This window comes from Homo sapiens, chromosome 1, assembly GCF_000001405.40.
Source record: "Homo sapiens chromosome 1, GRCh38.p14 Primary Assembly".
Classification (NCBI taxonomy): domain Eukaryota; kingdom Metazoa; phylum Chordata; class Mammalia; order Primates; family Hominidae; genus Homo; species Homo sapiens.
In genome coordinates, this window is record NC_000001.11 from 113,067,465 (window position 1) to 113,083,482 (window position 16,018).

General features: G+C 49.2%; 1 protein-coding gene and 1 long non-coding RNA gene across 5 annotated transcripts in view, besides 6 other annotated features; one reads left to right on the forward strand and one right to left on the reverse strand.

The window, feature by feature from the left end:
• Positions 1-5,638, reverse strand: part of LRIG2-DT (LRIG2 divergent transcript) — a 61,416-nt gene extending 55,778 nt beyond the window's left edge. The window contains exon 1 of the long non-coding RNA NR_103777.1: positions 5,475-5,638. This is a non-coding gene — a long non-coding RNA (LRIG2 divergent transcript). The remainder of the gene's footprint in view (positions 1-5,474) is intronic.
• Positions 5,205-5,454: an enhancer, noted in NCBI's record as "active region_1524". NCBI's record gives its function as "activates an Ori minimal core promoter by ATAC-STARR-seq in GM12878 lymphoblastoid cells {active_cell/tissue: GM12878}" and the evidence as "EXISTENCE:reporter gene assay evidence [ECO:0000049][PMID:35858748]".
• Positions 5,513-6,046: an enhancer, noted in NCBI's record as "H3K27ac hESC enhancer chr1:113615599-113616132 (GRCh37/hg19 assembly coordinates)". NCBI's record gives its function as "activates a minimal SCP1, AML or CMV promoter by ChIP-STARR-seq in primed H9 embryonic stem cells {active_cell/tissue: H9 hESC(primed)}" and the evidence as "EXISTENCE:reporter gene assay evidence [ECO:0000049][PMID:30033119]".
• Positions 5,705-6,014: an enhancer, noted in NCBI's record as "active region_1525". NCBI's record gives its function as "activates an Ori minimal core promoter by ATAC-STARR-seq in GM12878 lymphoblastoid cells {active_cell/tissue: GM12878}" and the evidence as "EXISTENCE:reporter gene assay evidence [ECO:0000049][PMID:35858748]".
• LRIG2 (leucine rich repeats and immunoglobulin like domains 2) overlaps positions 5,734-16,018 on the forward strand; it is a 59,063-nt gene continuing 48,778 nt past the window's right edge. For 3 of the 4 annotated variants that reach the window (NM_001312686.2, NM_014813.3, XM_005271369.3), the window contains exon 1: positions 5,734-6,181. Coding sequence is in view for 2 of the 4 variants with exons in the window: in NM_014813.3 (NP_055628.1) it covers positions 5,943-6,181 (239 nt within the window). In the remaining 2 variants the exon portion in view is untranslated. Of the gene's footprint in view, positions 6,182-6,538; positions 6,763-16,018 lie in introns of those variants that run through there. The other variant, XM_024451227.2, reaches the window with a different exon arrangement.
• Positions 6,047-6,578: an enhancer, noted in NCBI's record as "H3K27ac hESC enhancer chr1:113616133-113616664 (GRCh37/hg19 assembly coordinates)". NCBI's record gives its function as "activates a minimal SCP1, AML or CMV promoter by ChIP-STARR-seq in primed H9 embryonic stem cells {active_cell/tissue: H9 hESC(primed)}" and the evidence as "EXISTENCE:reporter gene assay evidence [ECO:0000049][PMID:30033119]".
• Positions 6,195-6,254: an enhancer, noted in NCBI's record as "active region_1526". NCBI's record gives its function as "activates an Ori minimal core promoter by ATAC-STARR-seq in GM12878 lymphoblastoid cells {active_cell/tissue: GM12878}" and the evidence as "EXISTENCE:reporter gene assay evidence [ECO:0000049][PMID:35858748]".
• Positions 6,854-6,903: an enhancer, noted in NCBI's record as "active region_1527". NCBI's record gives its function as "activates an Ori minimal core promoter by ATAC-STARR-seq in GM12878 lymphoblastoid cells {active_cell/tissue: GM12878}" and the evidence as "EXISTENCE:reporter gene assay evidence [ECO:0000049][PMID:35858748]".

A 16,018-nucleotide genomic window follows, 5' to 3' on the forward strand; every position in this document is an offset into this window, starting at 1 on the left:
TATGATTTGCAAATCTTCCATCACATGGCGTGCCTTTTCACTCTGTAGATAGTGTCCTTTAATGAACTGTTTTTAATTTTGATGAAGTACAATTTATCTATTTTTTCTGGCTTTATGTTTCACTTCAATAAATAGTAGTTACAATTGTTATCATTATTCCTTCTTTGCTTTAGTGGGAAAAGGAAATGGGAAGGAAGAGATGGAAGGAGACAAAAATGCATTCTCACTAGATTTGGGCATATTTACAGAGAAGCAGTGAAATTAACAGTAATTTTTTTTTTTTTTTGAAATGGAGTCTTTCTCTGTTGCCCATGCTGGAGTGCAGTGGTGCAATCTCGGCTCACTGCAACCTCCGCCTCTCAGGTTCAAGCAATCCTCGTGCCTCAGCCTCCCCAGCTGGGATTACAGGTGTGCAGCACCAAGCCTAATTTTTGTATTTTTAATAAAGACGGGATTTTGCCATGTTAGCCAGGCTTGTCTCGAACTCCTGAGTTCAAGTAATCTGCCGGCCTCGGCCTCCAAAAGTGCTGGGATTACAGGCATGAGCCACTGCATCCGGCCAAATTAACAGTAATTTAGTCAACAATAAATATTTATTCAGCATTGCCTATATTCCAGACACTGCTCTTAGCAATGGAGATATAAAATGAGAAAACATATCTGTAACATTATGCTTTGGAAAGATAATTCTAGTGACAGCTTAGAGACTTGGAGACAGGAGAGACTGGAGGACAGGAGATGGGTGCAAAGGTTATTGAAATAGTAGTCATATGAGATGAAGGTCTGAACTAAGTAGCAGTGGGGATGGAGAGCTGGGGAAAGATGTGAGACATTCCTGAGGGGGAATCAAGAGAGTCTAGTGATTAGATGTGACAGGAAAGAATGGGGGGAAAGCACAGGCAATCCTGAGACTTCTAGTTTGAAAGAATAGAATTGATCAGGTTAGTTAGCTATGACTTTGCAAAGAGTAAAGTCCCGAGGTAAGGAGATATAGGGCAGCTAAATTGTAAGGGATTGGGGTTTATGTTAAGGTGTGGAACAAGGGATATCAAGTGAGTAGTTTTTTTTTTTTTAAGTAATCTGGAGCTGGGGTATTCTGTGCTTATGGATTCCACTGAACTCTAAAATCTCAGCCCAGGTACTTTAGCACCCACGAATTAATTAGACAATTTAGGGCAATGAATATAAAAGCTCTATATTCCATTGTTAATCAGAAATGAATCATTAAATTCTGTTAAAAACACATATTTGCGCTAGAAAAAGTAAATTATGGGAGTCGGCGCCGGCGAGCGCCGCCCGGGAGGCAGCGGCTGGAGGAGCGGACGGGCCCCGCGGGGCCCGAGGGCAAGGAGCAGCCGCCTGCCTTGGCCTCCCAAAGTGCCGAGATTGCAGCCTCTGCCCGGCTGCCACCCCGTCTGGGAAGTGAGGAGTGTCTCTGCCTGGCCGCCCATCGTCTGGGATGTGAGGAGCCCCTCTGCCTGGCTGCCCAGTCTGGAAAGTGAGGAGCGTCTCCGCCCGGCCGCCATCCCATCTAGGAAGTGAGGAGCGCCTCTTCCCAGCCGCCATCACATCTAGGAAGTGAGGAGCGTCTCTGCCCGGCCGCCCATCGTCTGAGATGTGGGGAGCGCCTCTGCCCCGCCGCCCCATCTGGGATGTGAGGAGCGCCTCTGCCCGGCCGAGACCCCGTCTGGGAGGTGAGGAGCGTCTCTGCCCGGCCGCCCCGTCTGAGAAGTGAGGAGACCCTCTGCCTGGCAACCACCCCGTCTGAGAAGTGAGGAGCCCCTCCACCCGGCAGCTGCCCCGTCTGAGAAGTGAGGAGCCTCTCCGCCCGGCAGCCACCCCATCTGGGAAGTGAGGAGCGTCTCCGCCCGGCAGCCACCCCGTCCGGGAAGGAGGTGGGGGGGGGTCAGCCCCCCGCCCGGCCAGCCGCCCCATCCGGGAGGGAGGTGGGGGGTCAGCCCCCACGCCCGGCCAGCCGTGCCATCCGGGAGGGAGGTGGGGGGGTCAGCCCCCCGCCTGGCCAGCCGTGCCATCCGGGAGGGAGGTGGGGGGGTCAGCCCCCCGCCCGGCCAGCTGCCCCGTCCGGGAGGTGAGGGGCGCCTCTGCCCGGCCGCCCCTACTGGGAAGTGAGGAGCTCCTCAGCCCAGCCAGCCAACCCGTCCGGGAGGGAGATGGGGGGGTCAGCCCCCCCACCCGGCCAGCCGCCCCGTCCGGTAGGGAGGTAGGGGGGTCAGCCCCCCGCCTGGCCAGCCGCCCCGTCCGGGAGGGAGGTGGGGGGGTCAGCCCTCCGCCCAGCCAGCCGCCCCGTCTGGGAGGTGAGGGGCGCCTCTGCCCAGCCGCCCCTACTGGGAAGTGAGGAGCCCCTCTGCCCGGCCAGCCGCCCCGTCCGGGAGGGAGGTGGGGGGGGTCAGCCCCCCGCCCGGCCAGCCGCCATGTCCGGGAGGGAGGTGGGGGGGTCAGCCCTCCGCCCGGCCAGCCGCCCCGTCTGGGAGGTGAGGGGCGCCTCTGCCCGGCCGCCCCTACTGGGAAGTGAGGAGCCCCTCTGCCCGGCCAGCCGCCCCGTCCGGGAGGGAGGTGGGGGGGTCGGCCCCCCGCCCGGCCAGCCGCCCCGTCCGGGAGGGAGGTGGGGGGGTCGGCCCCCCGCCCGGCCAGCCGCCCCGTCCGGGAGGGAGGTGGGGGGGGTCAGCCCCCCCGCCCAGCCAGCCGCCCTGTCCGGGAGGTGAGGGGCGCCTCTGCCCGGCCGCCCCTACTGGGAAGTGAGGAGCCCCTCTGCCCGGCCAGCCGCCCCGTCCGGGAGGGAGGTGGGGGGGTCGGCCCCCCGCCCGGCCAGCCGCCCCGTCCGGGAGGGAGGTGGGGGGGGTCGGCCCCCCTGCCCGGCCAGCCGCCCCGTCCGGGAGGTGAGGGGCGCCTCTGCCCGGCCAGCCGCCCCGTCCGGGAGGGAGGTGGGGGGGTCAGCCCCCCGCCCGGCCAGCCGCCCCGTCCGGGAGGGAGGTTGGGGGGTCAGCCCCCCGCCCGGCCAGCCGCCCCGTCCGGGAGGGAGGTGGGGGGGGTCAGCCCCCCTGCCCGGCCAGCCGCCCCGTCCGGGAGGTGAGGGGCGCCTCTGCCCGGCCGCCCCTACTGGGAAGTGAGGAGCCCCTCTGCCCGGCCACCACCCCGTCTGGGAGGTGTGCCCAACAGCTCATTGAGAACGGGCCAGGATGACAATGGCGGCTTTGTGGAATAGAAAGGCGGGAAAGGTGGGGAAAAGATTGAGAAATCGGATGGTTGCCGTGTCTGTGTAGAAAGAAGTAGACATGGGAGACTTTTCATTTTGTTCTGCACTAAGAAAAATTCCTCTGCCTTGGGATCCTGTTGATCTGTGACCTTACCCCCAACCCTGTGCTCTCTGAAACATGTGCTGTGTCCACTCAGGGTTAAATGGATTAAGGGCGGTGCAAGATGTGCTTTGTTAAACAGATGCTTGAAGGCAGCATGCTCGTTAAGAGTCATCACCACTCCCTAATCTCAAGTACCCAGGGACACAAACACTGCGGAAGGCCGCAGGGTCCTCTGCCTAGGAAAACCAGAGACCTTTGTTCACTTGTTTATCTGCTGACCTTCCCTCCACTATTGTCCCATGACCCTGCCAAATCCCCCTCTGTGAGAAACACCCAAGAATTATCAATAAAAAAATAAATTAAAAAAAAAAAAAAAAAACACATATTTGCGGCTGGGTGTGGTGGCTCATGCTTGAAATCCCAGCACTCTGGGAGGCCGAGGCGGGCGGATCACCTAAGGTTGGGAGTTCGAGACCAGCCTGACCAACATGGAGAAACCCCATCTCTACTAAAACTACAAAATTAGCTGGGCGTGGTGGCGCATGACTGTAATCCCAGCTACTCAGGAGGCTGAGGCAGGAGAATCGCTTGAATCCAGGAGGCGGAGGTTGCGGTGAGCCGAGATTGTGCCATTGCACTCCAGCCTGGGCAACAATAATGAAATTTTGTCTCAAAAAAAAAACAAAAAAAACAAAAAAAACAAAAAAAACGTGTATTTGTGGCCAGTCACAGTGGCTCATGCCTGTAATCCCAGCACTTTGAGAGCCCGAGGTGGGTGGATCACCTGAGGTCAGGAGTTCGAGACCAGCCTGGCCAAAAAGGCAAAACCCCGTCTCTACTAAAAATACAAAAATTAGCCGGGCATGGTGGTGCACACCTGTAGTCCCAGCTACTAGGCAGGCTGAGGCAGGAGAATCGCTTGAATACGGCAGGCAGAGATTGCAGTGAGCCACTTACTGCGGAGGATACAGGTTAGAGAGCATTAATTTCTAATGGCCCCATTTGGTATAGTTTCATAGGAAAGCTCTGAAACTATAATGTAGAAAGGAACTAAACTGCCTCCTTTTTTTTTTTGTAAGGTTCCTGCCTATGCCGGATTTCTTACCAGAGTTTGTTAAGTCTGCTCAACAGCTAAGGGAAGAAGGCTAAGAGTAAGTTTCATTCCGCTGTCTTGGCTTTAAAAGTTTGGTTTGGACTGTAGCATTGGATATGGCCTTGTTTCCAATATATACTTCAATATTAAAAAAAAAAAACAGAAAAAGGTTTTTAAAAACATAATTATGACTCCATAATCTGCCATGGGAAAGATTGCTTTCAGTTACTTTCTATGAGAACCCTAACCTAGGCATTATCATTCTTTTTAACCTGCTCAGATTTTCAATTTATGTCAGAAAACCCATGTTAATGTCGAACCTGCCCCTGCCTCAAGAGTAACTTGGTTTAACCTCTTGGGGCTTGTTGCATCATCAGCAATAATTGTCTTGCCAATGTCACAGTCACTGAAGGAGCAAACAAGATAACAGATGCAAACGCCCTTTGAAAAGTTCACTACGTATAAGTGAACCATCACTATTATTCTCAAAGTCTTATTTACAACCTTGGATGGCTGAATGAGCATAAGATGGCCAGACTTCACTGTTCCTAGTAAGTTTTCCATAGCCTCTGCTTTAGGAGAAATAAATTTCCTCACATCCAGTCTTTGCTTTGTTGACTGCTCAACACCCTCTTGTCTCGCTTGCTTTTCTGAGAGTGACCTTGACAGCATCCCTCCAAAGAGAAGGGTATTTCCTTTATATAGACATGCAGGTGCAGTCCCACCAAAATTTATTGAACTCCAAGCTAGAACAAAAGGTGGAGGTGCACCGATGAAGAAACAGGGCCTCTGCCTTCAGGAGCTTACAAGGCCATTAACAGAGAGTGATATTGATCTTATGCAAATGGCAGTTGCCGCCTACTTGCAGAAGAGCAGGGGCTACAGCCAAGCAGCAGGGGGCAGAAGAGGCTCGAGCTCGGCTCTGGAGGCCGATCTGGCCAAAGCCAGGATAGAAGCTCCCGTGACCCATTCGTGTGTGCGACTTGGAAGGCAGCCCTTCTGCCACTCCCCTTTCTTAAAGCCCAGAGCAAATAAAAGATCCTTTTCTACTACAGTAGATATACCTGTAGTCAGGACTTTGAACTCACAGCTATTCGCCGCACCATTCCCTCTTAAGGAACTACTGCGCCCTCCAGCGGAAGAACAGCGGCGGAACTCCACAGCGGCAGCTAAAATCCCTGAACGCTTTAAAGTCCTTCTCCTCAAGATACTCGGCTGCGTCTGGCCCCGCCCCTCACTGAGTTCCGCCCCGGGCGCAACCTCATCTTATGGCACCGATTGGCTGGCCCCTGTGCGTGAGGACGTTGCGCCGTGGGGAGGGGCGGACGAGAGGTGTCCGTCAGGCCGTGTGTCCCAGGCCGTCGACCCCGCTGTCGCGCTGCGTCTGCTCCTTGCATGCCTTTAGATGGTACAGCCTTCAGCCGGGGCTTCGGGAGACAGTGCAGCCACCGAGCATCTCTGCTGAGCTTCTCCGCCGATCCTCCTTTTCTAGCAGGCAGCTCTTCTAGGCCACGTCCAGGTCGAGGGGGAAAATGGCGCCGGCGCCCCTAGGCGTCCCGGAGGAGCAGTTGCTGGGGTGTCGATCTAGAGTGCTTTCTCGGTTACTCTTCATTGCCCAGACCGCTCTCCTCCTGTTGCCCGCCGCCGGAGCAGGTCTCTGCCCCGCGCCCTGCTCCTGCCGCATTCCTCTCCTGGACTGCAGTCGCAGGAAATTGCCCGCACCGAGCTGGAGGGCGCTGTCGGGCTTGCTGCCCCCCGACACCGCTATCCTGTGAGTAGAGCGGCCAGGCAGAGTGACCAAAAGGAGGGGGAGCCTTCCCTCTACAGGGGGCAGGCAGGAGGGAGACAGGCCTGGTCGGAGGGTGTGGTCGAGAGCCTAAGCTCTGAAGGAAACTGCCGTCAGGATTTTATGAACTTTGTTTTAGGTGGTGGGAGCCTAAAAAAGCCGGTGTTAAGGTTTCTGGAGAATTGTATGAAGACGAGGGTTAAGATTCTTGGGGCCAAGGAGTCTGTGATTTCCTCAACTGGGGAGGAAATGGGGCGGGCATATTTAATGGTAAGGACTCACGGGTCCTGGGCACCAGCATTGACTTTGGATGGTTGGTGGGGCGGGGGGTGGGTTGAGCACGGAACAGTGCTTTCTGCTTATCTTGAGCTGCATGATTTGGTGTGTACCTCAGACTTAGTGGTCCTCAGGCACGTGATTTTATAATCACAATCGCCAAAGACCTATGAACTGTCTTTAGTCCTTAGTTCGCATGTTGGCTGATTTTGTGCTGCAGTTTTGATACTTAACAGGGTTGAAAAGTTCATTATGATGAATCAGGAGATCCTGTAATTCAGAATATCTTTGTAAGTAGCATTCTTGATCTAATTTAAACTTCACTGTAAAGAGGAGGAGTATTTTTTGCAGAACCATTTGATGCTTTGTTTTCAGCGCATCTTCTTGTGGCAAAGAACCCAAAAATCAGTTCTGCTTATTTATGTAGGTAAAGCAGGTACAACGGTTGAATGAATTCTGGAGTTTCCACTGTTGAGTTTTCACTTTGACAGGTCTTTATTAGACAGTGGAACTTGGAGGGCTCCTTAGTCTGAGTCAGCCTGGTGGTATTAGGAACAACAGCAGGTATTAAATGCTGCAATTATGGGGCTTCTTAACCACTAACATACAGTTATTTCTCGTCACTAACTGAGCAGCACGTTTATTAACTGACAGATTTCTGATGGAGTCGTTAAGAAAGAGTCATCAATGGGCCAGGCGCGGTGGCTCACGCCTGTAATCCCAGCACTTTGGGAGGCCGAGGCGGGCCGATCACGAGGTCAAGAGATCGAGACCATCCTGGCCAACATGGTGAAACCCCGTCTCTACTAAAAATACAAAAAAATTAGCTGGGTGTGGTGGTGTGCGCCTGTAGTCCCAGCTACTCGGGAGGCTGAGGCAGGAGAATCGCTTGAACCCGGGAGGTGGAGGTTGCAGTGAGCTGAGATCACGCCACTGCACTCCAGCCTGAAAACAGAGCGAGACTCCGTCTGGGGGGAGGGAGGGTCGGGGAGGAAGAGGGGCCGGGTGCGGTGGCTCACGCTTGTAATCCCAGCACTCTGGGAGGCTGAGGCGGGCTGATCACCTAAGGTTGGGAGTTCGAGACCAACCTGACCAACATGGAGAAACCCCATCTCTACTAAAAATGCAAAGTTAGCTGGGTGTGGTGGCGCGTGCCTGTAATACTAGCTACACCCTGAGGCAGGAGAATCACTTGAACCCGGGAGGGCGAGGTTGGAGTGAGCCGAGATCGTGCCATTGCACTCCAGCCTGGGCAACAAGAGTGAAACTCTGTCTCAAAAAAAAAAAGAGTCATCACTAAAAAAATAGGTTGAAGTGCAATTAAAATATGAGAGGCTGCTTGGATTTTTATTGGAAATAGAATACAAATAAGAGGTGTTGCGGAGTTTAAGAAGTATTTATATATTTGCAAATAGGTTAGCACAGATAGGAAAGAAAGCTACCTCATGTAGTCATTGAAAAAATTAACATAAATAATCAAATCTTTTAGTAAACATAGAACTGCAGTGTAGTAAGATGCTTTCTCTTTCATGGTAGTGACACCTGTAGTCACTTCTGGTTTTATTGACCCAAATTTAAAAACTCCTATCAGTGTGCAGTGTAGTGTCAGTTAAACCTAGCACAGCCTCTTTGTTATGCAGCAAGTGCCTTTTTCTAAGACATTCTTGGAAGAGCTACCTGATTATAACAATAAGTCTGGCACAGATTTGACAAAACAGCTTCATTTAGCTGTAATTGGAATGAATGTGGCCTATACTTTTTTTTTTTTTTTTTTTTGAGATGGAGTCGCGCTCTTGTTGCCCAGGCTGGAGTGCAATGGTGTGACCTCGGCTCCCTGCAACCTCTGCTTCCCAGGTTCAAGCGATTCTCCTGCCTCAGCCTCCCAAGTAGCTGGGATTACAGGCGTGCGCTACCATGCCTGGCTAATTTTTCATATTTTTAGTAGAGGTGGGGTTTCACCATGTTGGCCAGTCTGGTCTTAAACTCCTGATGTCAGGTGATCCACCCACCTCAGCCTCCCAAAGTGCTGGGGTTACAAGCATGAGCCACCAAGCCCGGCCTGGCCTACTTTTTTTTTTTTTTTATTTAAGAGAGAGTCTTGCTCTGTCACCCAGGCTGGAGTGCAGTGGCACGATCTCGGCTCAGTGCAGCCTCTGCCTCCTGGGTTCCAGTGATTCTCCTGCCTCAGACTCCCAGGTAGCTGGGATTACAGACTTGAGCCAGTATGCCCACCTAATTTTTGTATTTTCAGTAGAGACGGGGTTTCACCATGTTGGCCAGGCTGGTCTTGAACTCCTGACCTCAGGTGATCTGCCCACCTTGGCCTCCCAAAGTGCTAGGATTACAGGCACGAGCCACTGCGCTTGGCCACAGCCGGGCCTACATTTAAGATTCTCCGTTGGTTGGTAAACATTTAGAAGTAATTTTATGTAAGATATATTTTTGTGTTAAGGTTTGATTTTTGTTTAATCAAGACCAATTGCCTAGAGCCAAGTGACATTCAGAATTTTTAATGTCCTATAATGAAATGACATTTTCAGTTGAAGTGAAATGACTTAGAGAACAATTCAGTTGTAGAAATGTAATTGGATGGAAGTCTTACATTGGTAGAACTCTTAGAATATTAAAAGATAGTACCGTACTATTTTAAATTGAGAAATGAAACATTCTTCAGCAGTTGCCTTTAGCTATAAAACCACCCAGTACATTTGGGTTTCTTTATGTAATTTTGAATGTTGAAATACATGTAATGCTTTAAATATATTAGGGATTCAAATATATGCTCAAACTTGTGACCATCAAAATGATTATGGACAAAATTCATTAATACTGATTTTTGGAAACATACTCAGATACTGTCTTTATGCTTCTCTGTATGAGAAACTCTCTAGAATATTATTTGATCATTCAGAGCTTGACTGGGTTCTCTGTGGGTATAGAGCTCTGTTTCACATTATTCTGATTACACACACATACACAGCATTGAAAGACTAGGTTTATGACTCAACTTCTTATTTTGCAAAGTAACTTTGTTAGAACCCCTTTCCCCCAATGATGTGTTGTCTTGGTCATTTCATGATAGTACCAAAACATTAAGAAGTATGTATTTTTAGGGTTAAGGACGCTTCTATAGATTATATAGATTTAGCTTTATGAAATAAAAGTAACCTTTTCCTTACTGTTTTATTTCACTGTAGACTGTTAAATTTTTTTTCTTTTTTTTTTTGAGATGGAGTTTCTCACTTTCGCCCAGGCTGGAGTGAAGCAGCCTGATCTCGGCTCACTGCAACCTCTGTCGCCCGGGTTCAAGTGATTCTCCTGCCTCAGCTTCCCGAGTAGGGATTATAGGTGCCCTCCACCATGCCCAGCTAATTTTTGTATTTTTAGTAGAGAAGGGGTTTTGCCATGTTGGCCAGGCTGGTGTCGAACTCCTGACCTCAGGTGATCCGCCCACCTTGGCCTCCCAAAGTGCCAGGATTACAGGCATTAGCCACTGTGCCTGGCCAGCTGCTAAAAATTTTGTCTTGGATCAGTATTGGGAACCAGTGCTGTACTTGATTAATTTATTGAATTATATATATACTTAGTTACCTATAGTTTTTTAGTTCTTTCTATTTTCATTATAATTGTTTAAAATTTGTTTGCATTTGTTTCTTTATAATAGTTGTGAACAGATTCGTTTTTTAGCATAGAGGACATAAGCTTATGTTGAATAGCTCTAGGGAAGTCTTTCCATGTGTGACTTGAGCTTCAACCTCTGTAGCTATTTTAGTAACCCTGGCAAAATGTTTTCACTATTTATTTATTTATTTATTCTACTTTAAGTTCTAGGGTACATGTGCACAACTTGCAGGTTTGTTACATATGTATACATGTGCCATGTTGGTGTGCTGCACCCATTAACTCATCATTTACATTAGGTATATCTCCTAATGCTATCCCTCCCCCCTCCCCCCACCCCATGACAGGCTCCGATGTGTGATGTTCCCCTTCCTGTGTCCATGTGTTCTCATTGTTCATTTCCCACCTATGAGTGAGAACATGTGGTGTTTGGTTTTTTGTCCTTGCAATAGTTTGCTGAGAATGATGGTTTCCAGCTTCATCCATGTCCCTTCAAAGGATATGAACTCACCCTTTTTTATGGCTGCATAGTATTCCATGGTATATATGTGCCACATTTTCTTAATCCAGTCTATCATTGATGGACATTTGGGTTGGTTCAAAGTCTTTGCTATTGTGAATAGTGCCACAGTAAACATATGTGTGCATGTGTCTTTATGTTTTCACTATTAACATGTGGATTTAGTCTTTTTTTTTTTTCAGATGGAGTCTTGCTGTGTTGCCCAGGCTGGAGTGTAGTGGTGGGATCTTGGTTCACTGCAACCCCCGCCTCCTGGGTTTGAGCGATTCTCCTGCCTTAGTCTCCCAAGTAGCTGGGATTACCGGTGCCCACCACCACGCCAGGCTAATTTTTGTATTTTTAGTAGAGACGGGGTTTCACCATGTTGGCCAGGCTGGTCTTGAACTCCTGACCTCAGGTGATCCACCCACCTCGGCCTCCCATGGATTTAGTCTTGATCCCTTAAAAGAGTATGAGCTCACTAGCAGTGACTTGTGTGATGTCAAGCAAAAACTTCATAGCTTTACCTGTATTTCATATTTCCTTCCTAAAGGGGCAGATCATTTGCAGTTCCTTTCTACATTTTTTTTTTTTTTTTGAGACGGAATAGTTTCATTCTTGTTGCTTAGGCTGGAGTGCAATGGTCCAGTCTCAGCTCACTGCAACCTCCACTTCCCAGGTTCAAACGCTTCTCCTGCCTCAGCCTCCCGAGTAGCTGGGATTACAGGCATGCACCACCACGCCCAGCTAATTTTGTATTTTTAGTAGAGATGGGGTTTCTTCATGTTGGTCAGGCTGGTCTCAAACTCCCAACCTCAGGTGATCTGCCCACCTCGGCCTCCCAAAGTGTTGGGATTACAGTTGTGAGCCACCACAACCGGCCAGAGGAGGCAATATTTTTTGAGATAACTTTGTAACTTGCGGTTGGATAATCTAGCTGAAATGTGAAAGTAATCTACTTTAATAGCTTTAAACCACAAGTTGGTAAATTGAAAATGAGCCCTGTGACCTGGTGCGGTGGCTCACGCCTGTAATCCCAGCACTTTCGGAAGCTGAGGCCGGCTGATCACTGGAGCCTAGGAGTTCAAGATTAGGCTGGGCAACGTGGCAAAACCCACTGTCTGTCAAAAAAAGTGCAACAGTTAGCCAGGTATGCTGGTACACACCTCTAGTCCCAGTTACTTGGGGGGCTGAGGTAGGAGGATTGCTTGAGCCTGGGAGGCAGAGGTTGTAATGAGCCGAAATCATGCCGCTGTACTCCAGCCTGGGAGACAGAGCAAGATCCTATTTAAAAAAAAAAAAAAAAAGAAGAGAAAGAAAATGAGCCCCTTTAAAAAAGGTACAGATGGCCGGGCACAGTGCTCACACCTGTAATCCCAGCACTTTGGGAGGCAGAGGCGGGTACATCACGAGGTCAGGAGTTTGAGATCAGCCTGGCTAAGATGGTGAAACCCCATCTCTACTAAAAATACAAAAATTAGCCAGCCGTGGTGGCGGGCGCCTGTAATCCCAGTTACTCTGGAGGCTGAGGCAGGAGAATCGCTTGAGCCCGGGAGGCAGAGGTTGTAGTGAGCTGAGACCACTGCACTCTAGCAACAGAGCAAGACTCCATCTCAAAAAAAAAAAAGAAAAAAAGAAAAGAAAAAAGAAAGGTTATACCTTTGGAGGGAAATCAGGAGAAATCTTTTTTTTTTTTTTTTTTTGAGGCGGAGTCTTGCTCTGTTGCCCAGGCTAGAGTGGAGTGGCACAATCTCGGCTCACTGCCACCCGAGTTCAAGCGATTCTGCTTCAGCCTCCCAAGTAGCTGGGATTACAGGCGCCCACCACCATGCCTAGCTAATTTTTGTATTTTTAGTCAAGACGGGGCTTCACCATGTTGGCCAGACTGATCTCAAACTCCTTACCTCGTGATCCGCCTGCCTCAGTCTCCCAAAGTGCTGGGAGCCACTGCGCCTGGCCCGAATTTTTTTTTTTTTTTTTTTTGAGACGGAATCTTGCTCTGTCGCCAGGCTGGAGTGCAGTGGCACAATCTCGGCTCACTGCAACCTCCGCCTCCCAGGTTCAAGCGATTCTCCTGCCTCAGCCTCCCAAGTAGCTGGGACTACAGGCACGTACCACCTCACCCAGCTAATTTTTGTATTTTTAGTAGAGACGGGGTTTCACCATGTTGGCCAGGCTGGTCTCCAACTCCTGACCTCGTGATTGGCCCACTTTGGCCTTCCAAAGTGCTGGGATTACAGGCGTGAGCCACTGCCCCCAGCCTATCAGGAGAAATTTTAAAACAAGTTAAAGCAACCCATTCTAATTTGCTTCTGGTCTTTTTTATTTATTTATTTTTTTGGAGACGGAGTCTCGCTCTGTTGCCCAGGCTGGAGTGCAGTGGCGCAATCTCGGCTCACTGCAAGCTCCGCCTTCCAGGTTCACGCCATTCTCCTGCCTCAGCCTCTGGAGTAGCTGGGACTACAGGCACCTACCACCACGCCCGGCTAATTTTTTGTATTTTCAGTAGGACGTGGTTTCACCGTGTTAGCCAGGATGGTCTTGGTCTCCTGACCTCATGATCCACCCGTCTCGGCCTCCCAAAGTGCTGGGATTACAGGCGTGAGCCACTGTGCCCGGCCTGCTTCTGGTCTTTTAACTATCTTACTATATGGTTTCTTTTCAAGGTACCTCATTATCCATAGTAAATGTTGTGAATGAATCAGGGCATTATCTTAGCTAATTATTTCAAAATCATCTTTTTAAACAAAGAAAAATTCTAAATATGGGAACACTAAAAGTTTTTTTTTTTTTTTTTTTTTTTTGAGACGGAATTTTGCTCTTGTTGCCCAGGCTGGAGTGCAATGGCACAATGTTGGCTCACTGCAACCTGTGCTTCCTGGGTTCAAGGGATTCTCCTGCCTCAGCCTCCTGAGTAGCTGGGATTACAGGCATGCACCACACGCCTGGCTAATTTTTGTATTTTTACTAGAGACGAGGTTTCACCATGTTGGCCAGGCTGGCCTCAAACTCCTGACCTCGTGATCTGCCTACCTTGGCCTCCCAAAGTGCTGGGATTCCACGCATGAGCCACCGCGCCTGGCCCAAAAAGTTATTACTAACTCTGGTTCCCATCTGACTCTGCATCTGGGATGTTTCGTCTAATTGCCTCAAAATTCGGAAAAACGTATCCACAAGTAATCTTTCATTTTTTCCCTTATCTTTGTTTTTATAGAGCCTTGCAGCATCCATTAGATAGTTACTAAATATTAATGAGTAAGTAGTTGCATGGAGTGTCATGATGGCTGACAGCTGTAGATGGAGGTGTTTTTAGTGGTCTGAAACTGTATACTGGTCACCCATTTCTATTTTTTTTTTTTTAGTTTTTTGAGACAGAGTCCTGCTCTGTCGCCCAAGTAGCTGGGACTACAGGCACGCGCCACCATACCCAGCTAATTTTTGTATTTTTAGTAGAGACGGGGTTTCACCATATTGGCCAGGATAGTCTCGATCTCTTGACCTCGTGATTGGCTGGAATGCAGTGGGGTGATTTCAGCTCAGTGCAGCCTCTGTCTCCTGGGTTCAAGCAATTCTCCTGCCTCAGCCTCCCGAGTAGCTGGGATTACAGGCACCCGCCACGAGGCCTGACTGATTTTTGTATTTTTAGTAGAGATGGGGTTTTACCATGTTGGCCAGGCTGGTCTCAAACTCCTGACCTCAGGTGATCCGCCCACCTCAGCCTCCCTAAGTGCTGGATTACAGGCATGAGCCACTGTGCTCGGCCTCCAGCCACCCATTTCTAAAGTTGAGATACTTCAAAAGTATTATGGATGTCTCTCACATAATCTCATGTAATAGAAAGATTATCTTTTTTAGACAGTAGCAGAAACAGCAGTTTTAGTTTGCAAAAGAAACACTTTAACTGGATATTAGTGGCCAAGTAAAAAAATTAAGTAAATAAAAGACGTAGTAAATCCCTAAACCAAATTGGGCATGAGGCGTGGGAAAAGCTGCTATGTTTCCAGAATCCAATATACTTTGCCCCTGGCTTGCATGATACTGTTACAATGAACTGTTTCACTTGCAACAGTCATTTCAAAGCATATACGATGCTTTCACTGTATTAAGGATTTTAACATATTTTGTCTTCTTTATCCTGGTATATCTGGGGAAGTGGTAAACAGCAAATGTGAGCCTTTAAAATCTAGTGATATCTTCAAGACATTTTTGTTAGTTTATAAGATATCTGAACAAGAAAATCTGCAACAAGAGAGCCTAAAGAAATCTGATCTAATACAGATCTGATACAGATCACCTGGGCTTGGTTGTTACACAATTATACCCTGGTGTATTAGTCTCTTGCACTGCTATATACAATTAAATCAGACTGGGTAATTTATAAAGAAAAGAAGTTTAACTGGCTCACAGTTCTGTAGGCTGTACAGGAAGTATGGCACTGGCATCAGCTTGGCTTCTGGTGAGGCCTCAGGGAGCTTTTACTCGTGGCCAAAGGCAAAGCGGGAGCAGGCAATTCACATGGCAAAAGCAGGAGTGAGAGAGAGAGTTGTGTAGGGGAGGTGTCACGCTATTATTTATTTATTTAGAGACAGGGTCTCTCTTATTTATTTATTTATTTGAGACGAAGTCTCTCTCTGTTGCCCAGGCTGGAGTGCAGTGGTGAGATCTCAGCTCACTGCAACCTCCACCTCCCAGTTTCAAGCAATTCTCCTGCCTCAGCCTCCTGAATAGCTGGGATTACAGGTGCTTGCCACCATGCCTGACTAATGATTTTATATTTTTAGTAGAGATGGGGTTTTGCCATGTTGGCCAGACTGGTCTCAAACTCCTGACCTCAGGTGATCCACCCACCTTGGCTTCCCAAAGTGATGGGATTACAGGCATGAGCCACCACGCCCAGGCTGGAGTTCAGTGTTGCAATCATGGCTCAGTGCAGCCTCAACCTCCCTGGGCTTTGAGGATCCTCCCACCTCAGCCTTCCAAGTAGCTAGGACTACAGATGTGTGCCACCATGCCTGGCTAATTTTGTGTAGATTTTATAGAGACAGGGTCTCGCCATGTTGCCCAGGCTGGTCTTGAACTCTGAATCTCAAGCAGTCTGCCTGCTTCAGCCTTCTAATTGCTGGCATTATAGATATGAGGCACCATGCTTGGCTACTGCACACTTTTTTTTTTTTTTTTTTTGATATGGAGTCTCCCAGGTCTGGAACTCCTGAACTCTAGTAATCTGCCCACCTCAGCCTCCCAAAGAGCTGGGATTACAGGCATGAGCCACCACACCTGGCTGCTCACTTTTTTTTTTTTTTTTTTGAGACGGAGTCTTGTTCTGTTGCCCAGGCTTGAGTGTAGTGGTGCCATCTTGGCTCACTGCAACCTCTGCCTCCTGGGTTTAAGCGATTCTCCTGCCTCAGCCTCCCGAGTAGCTGGGA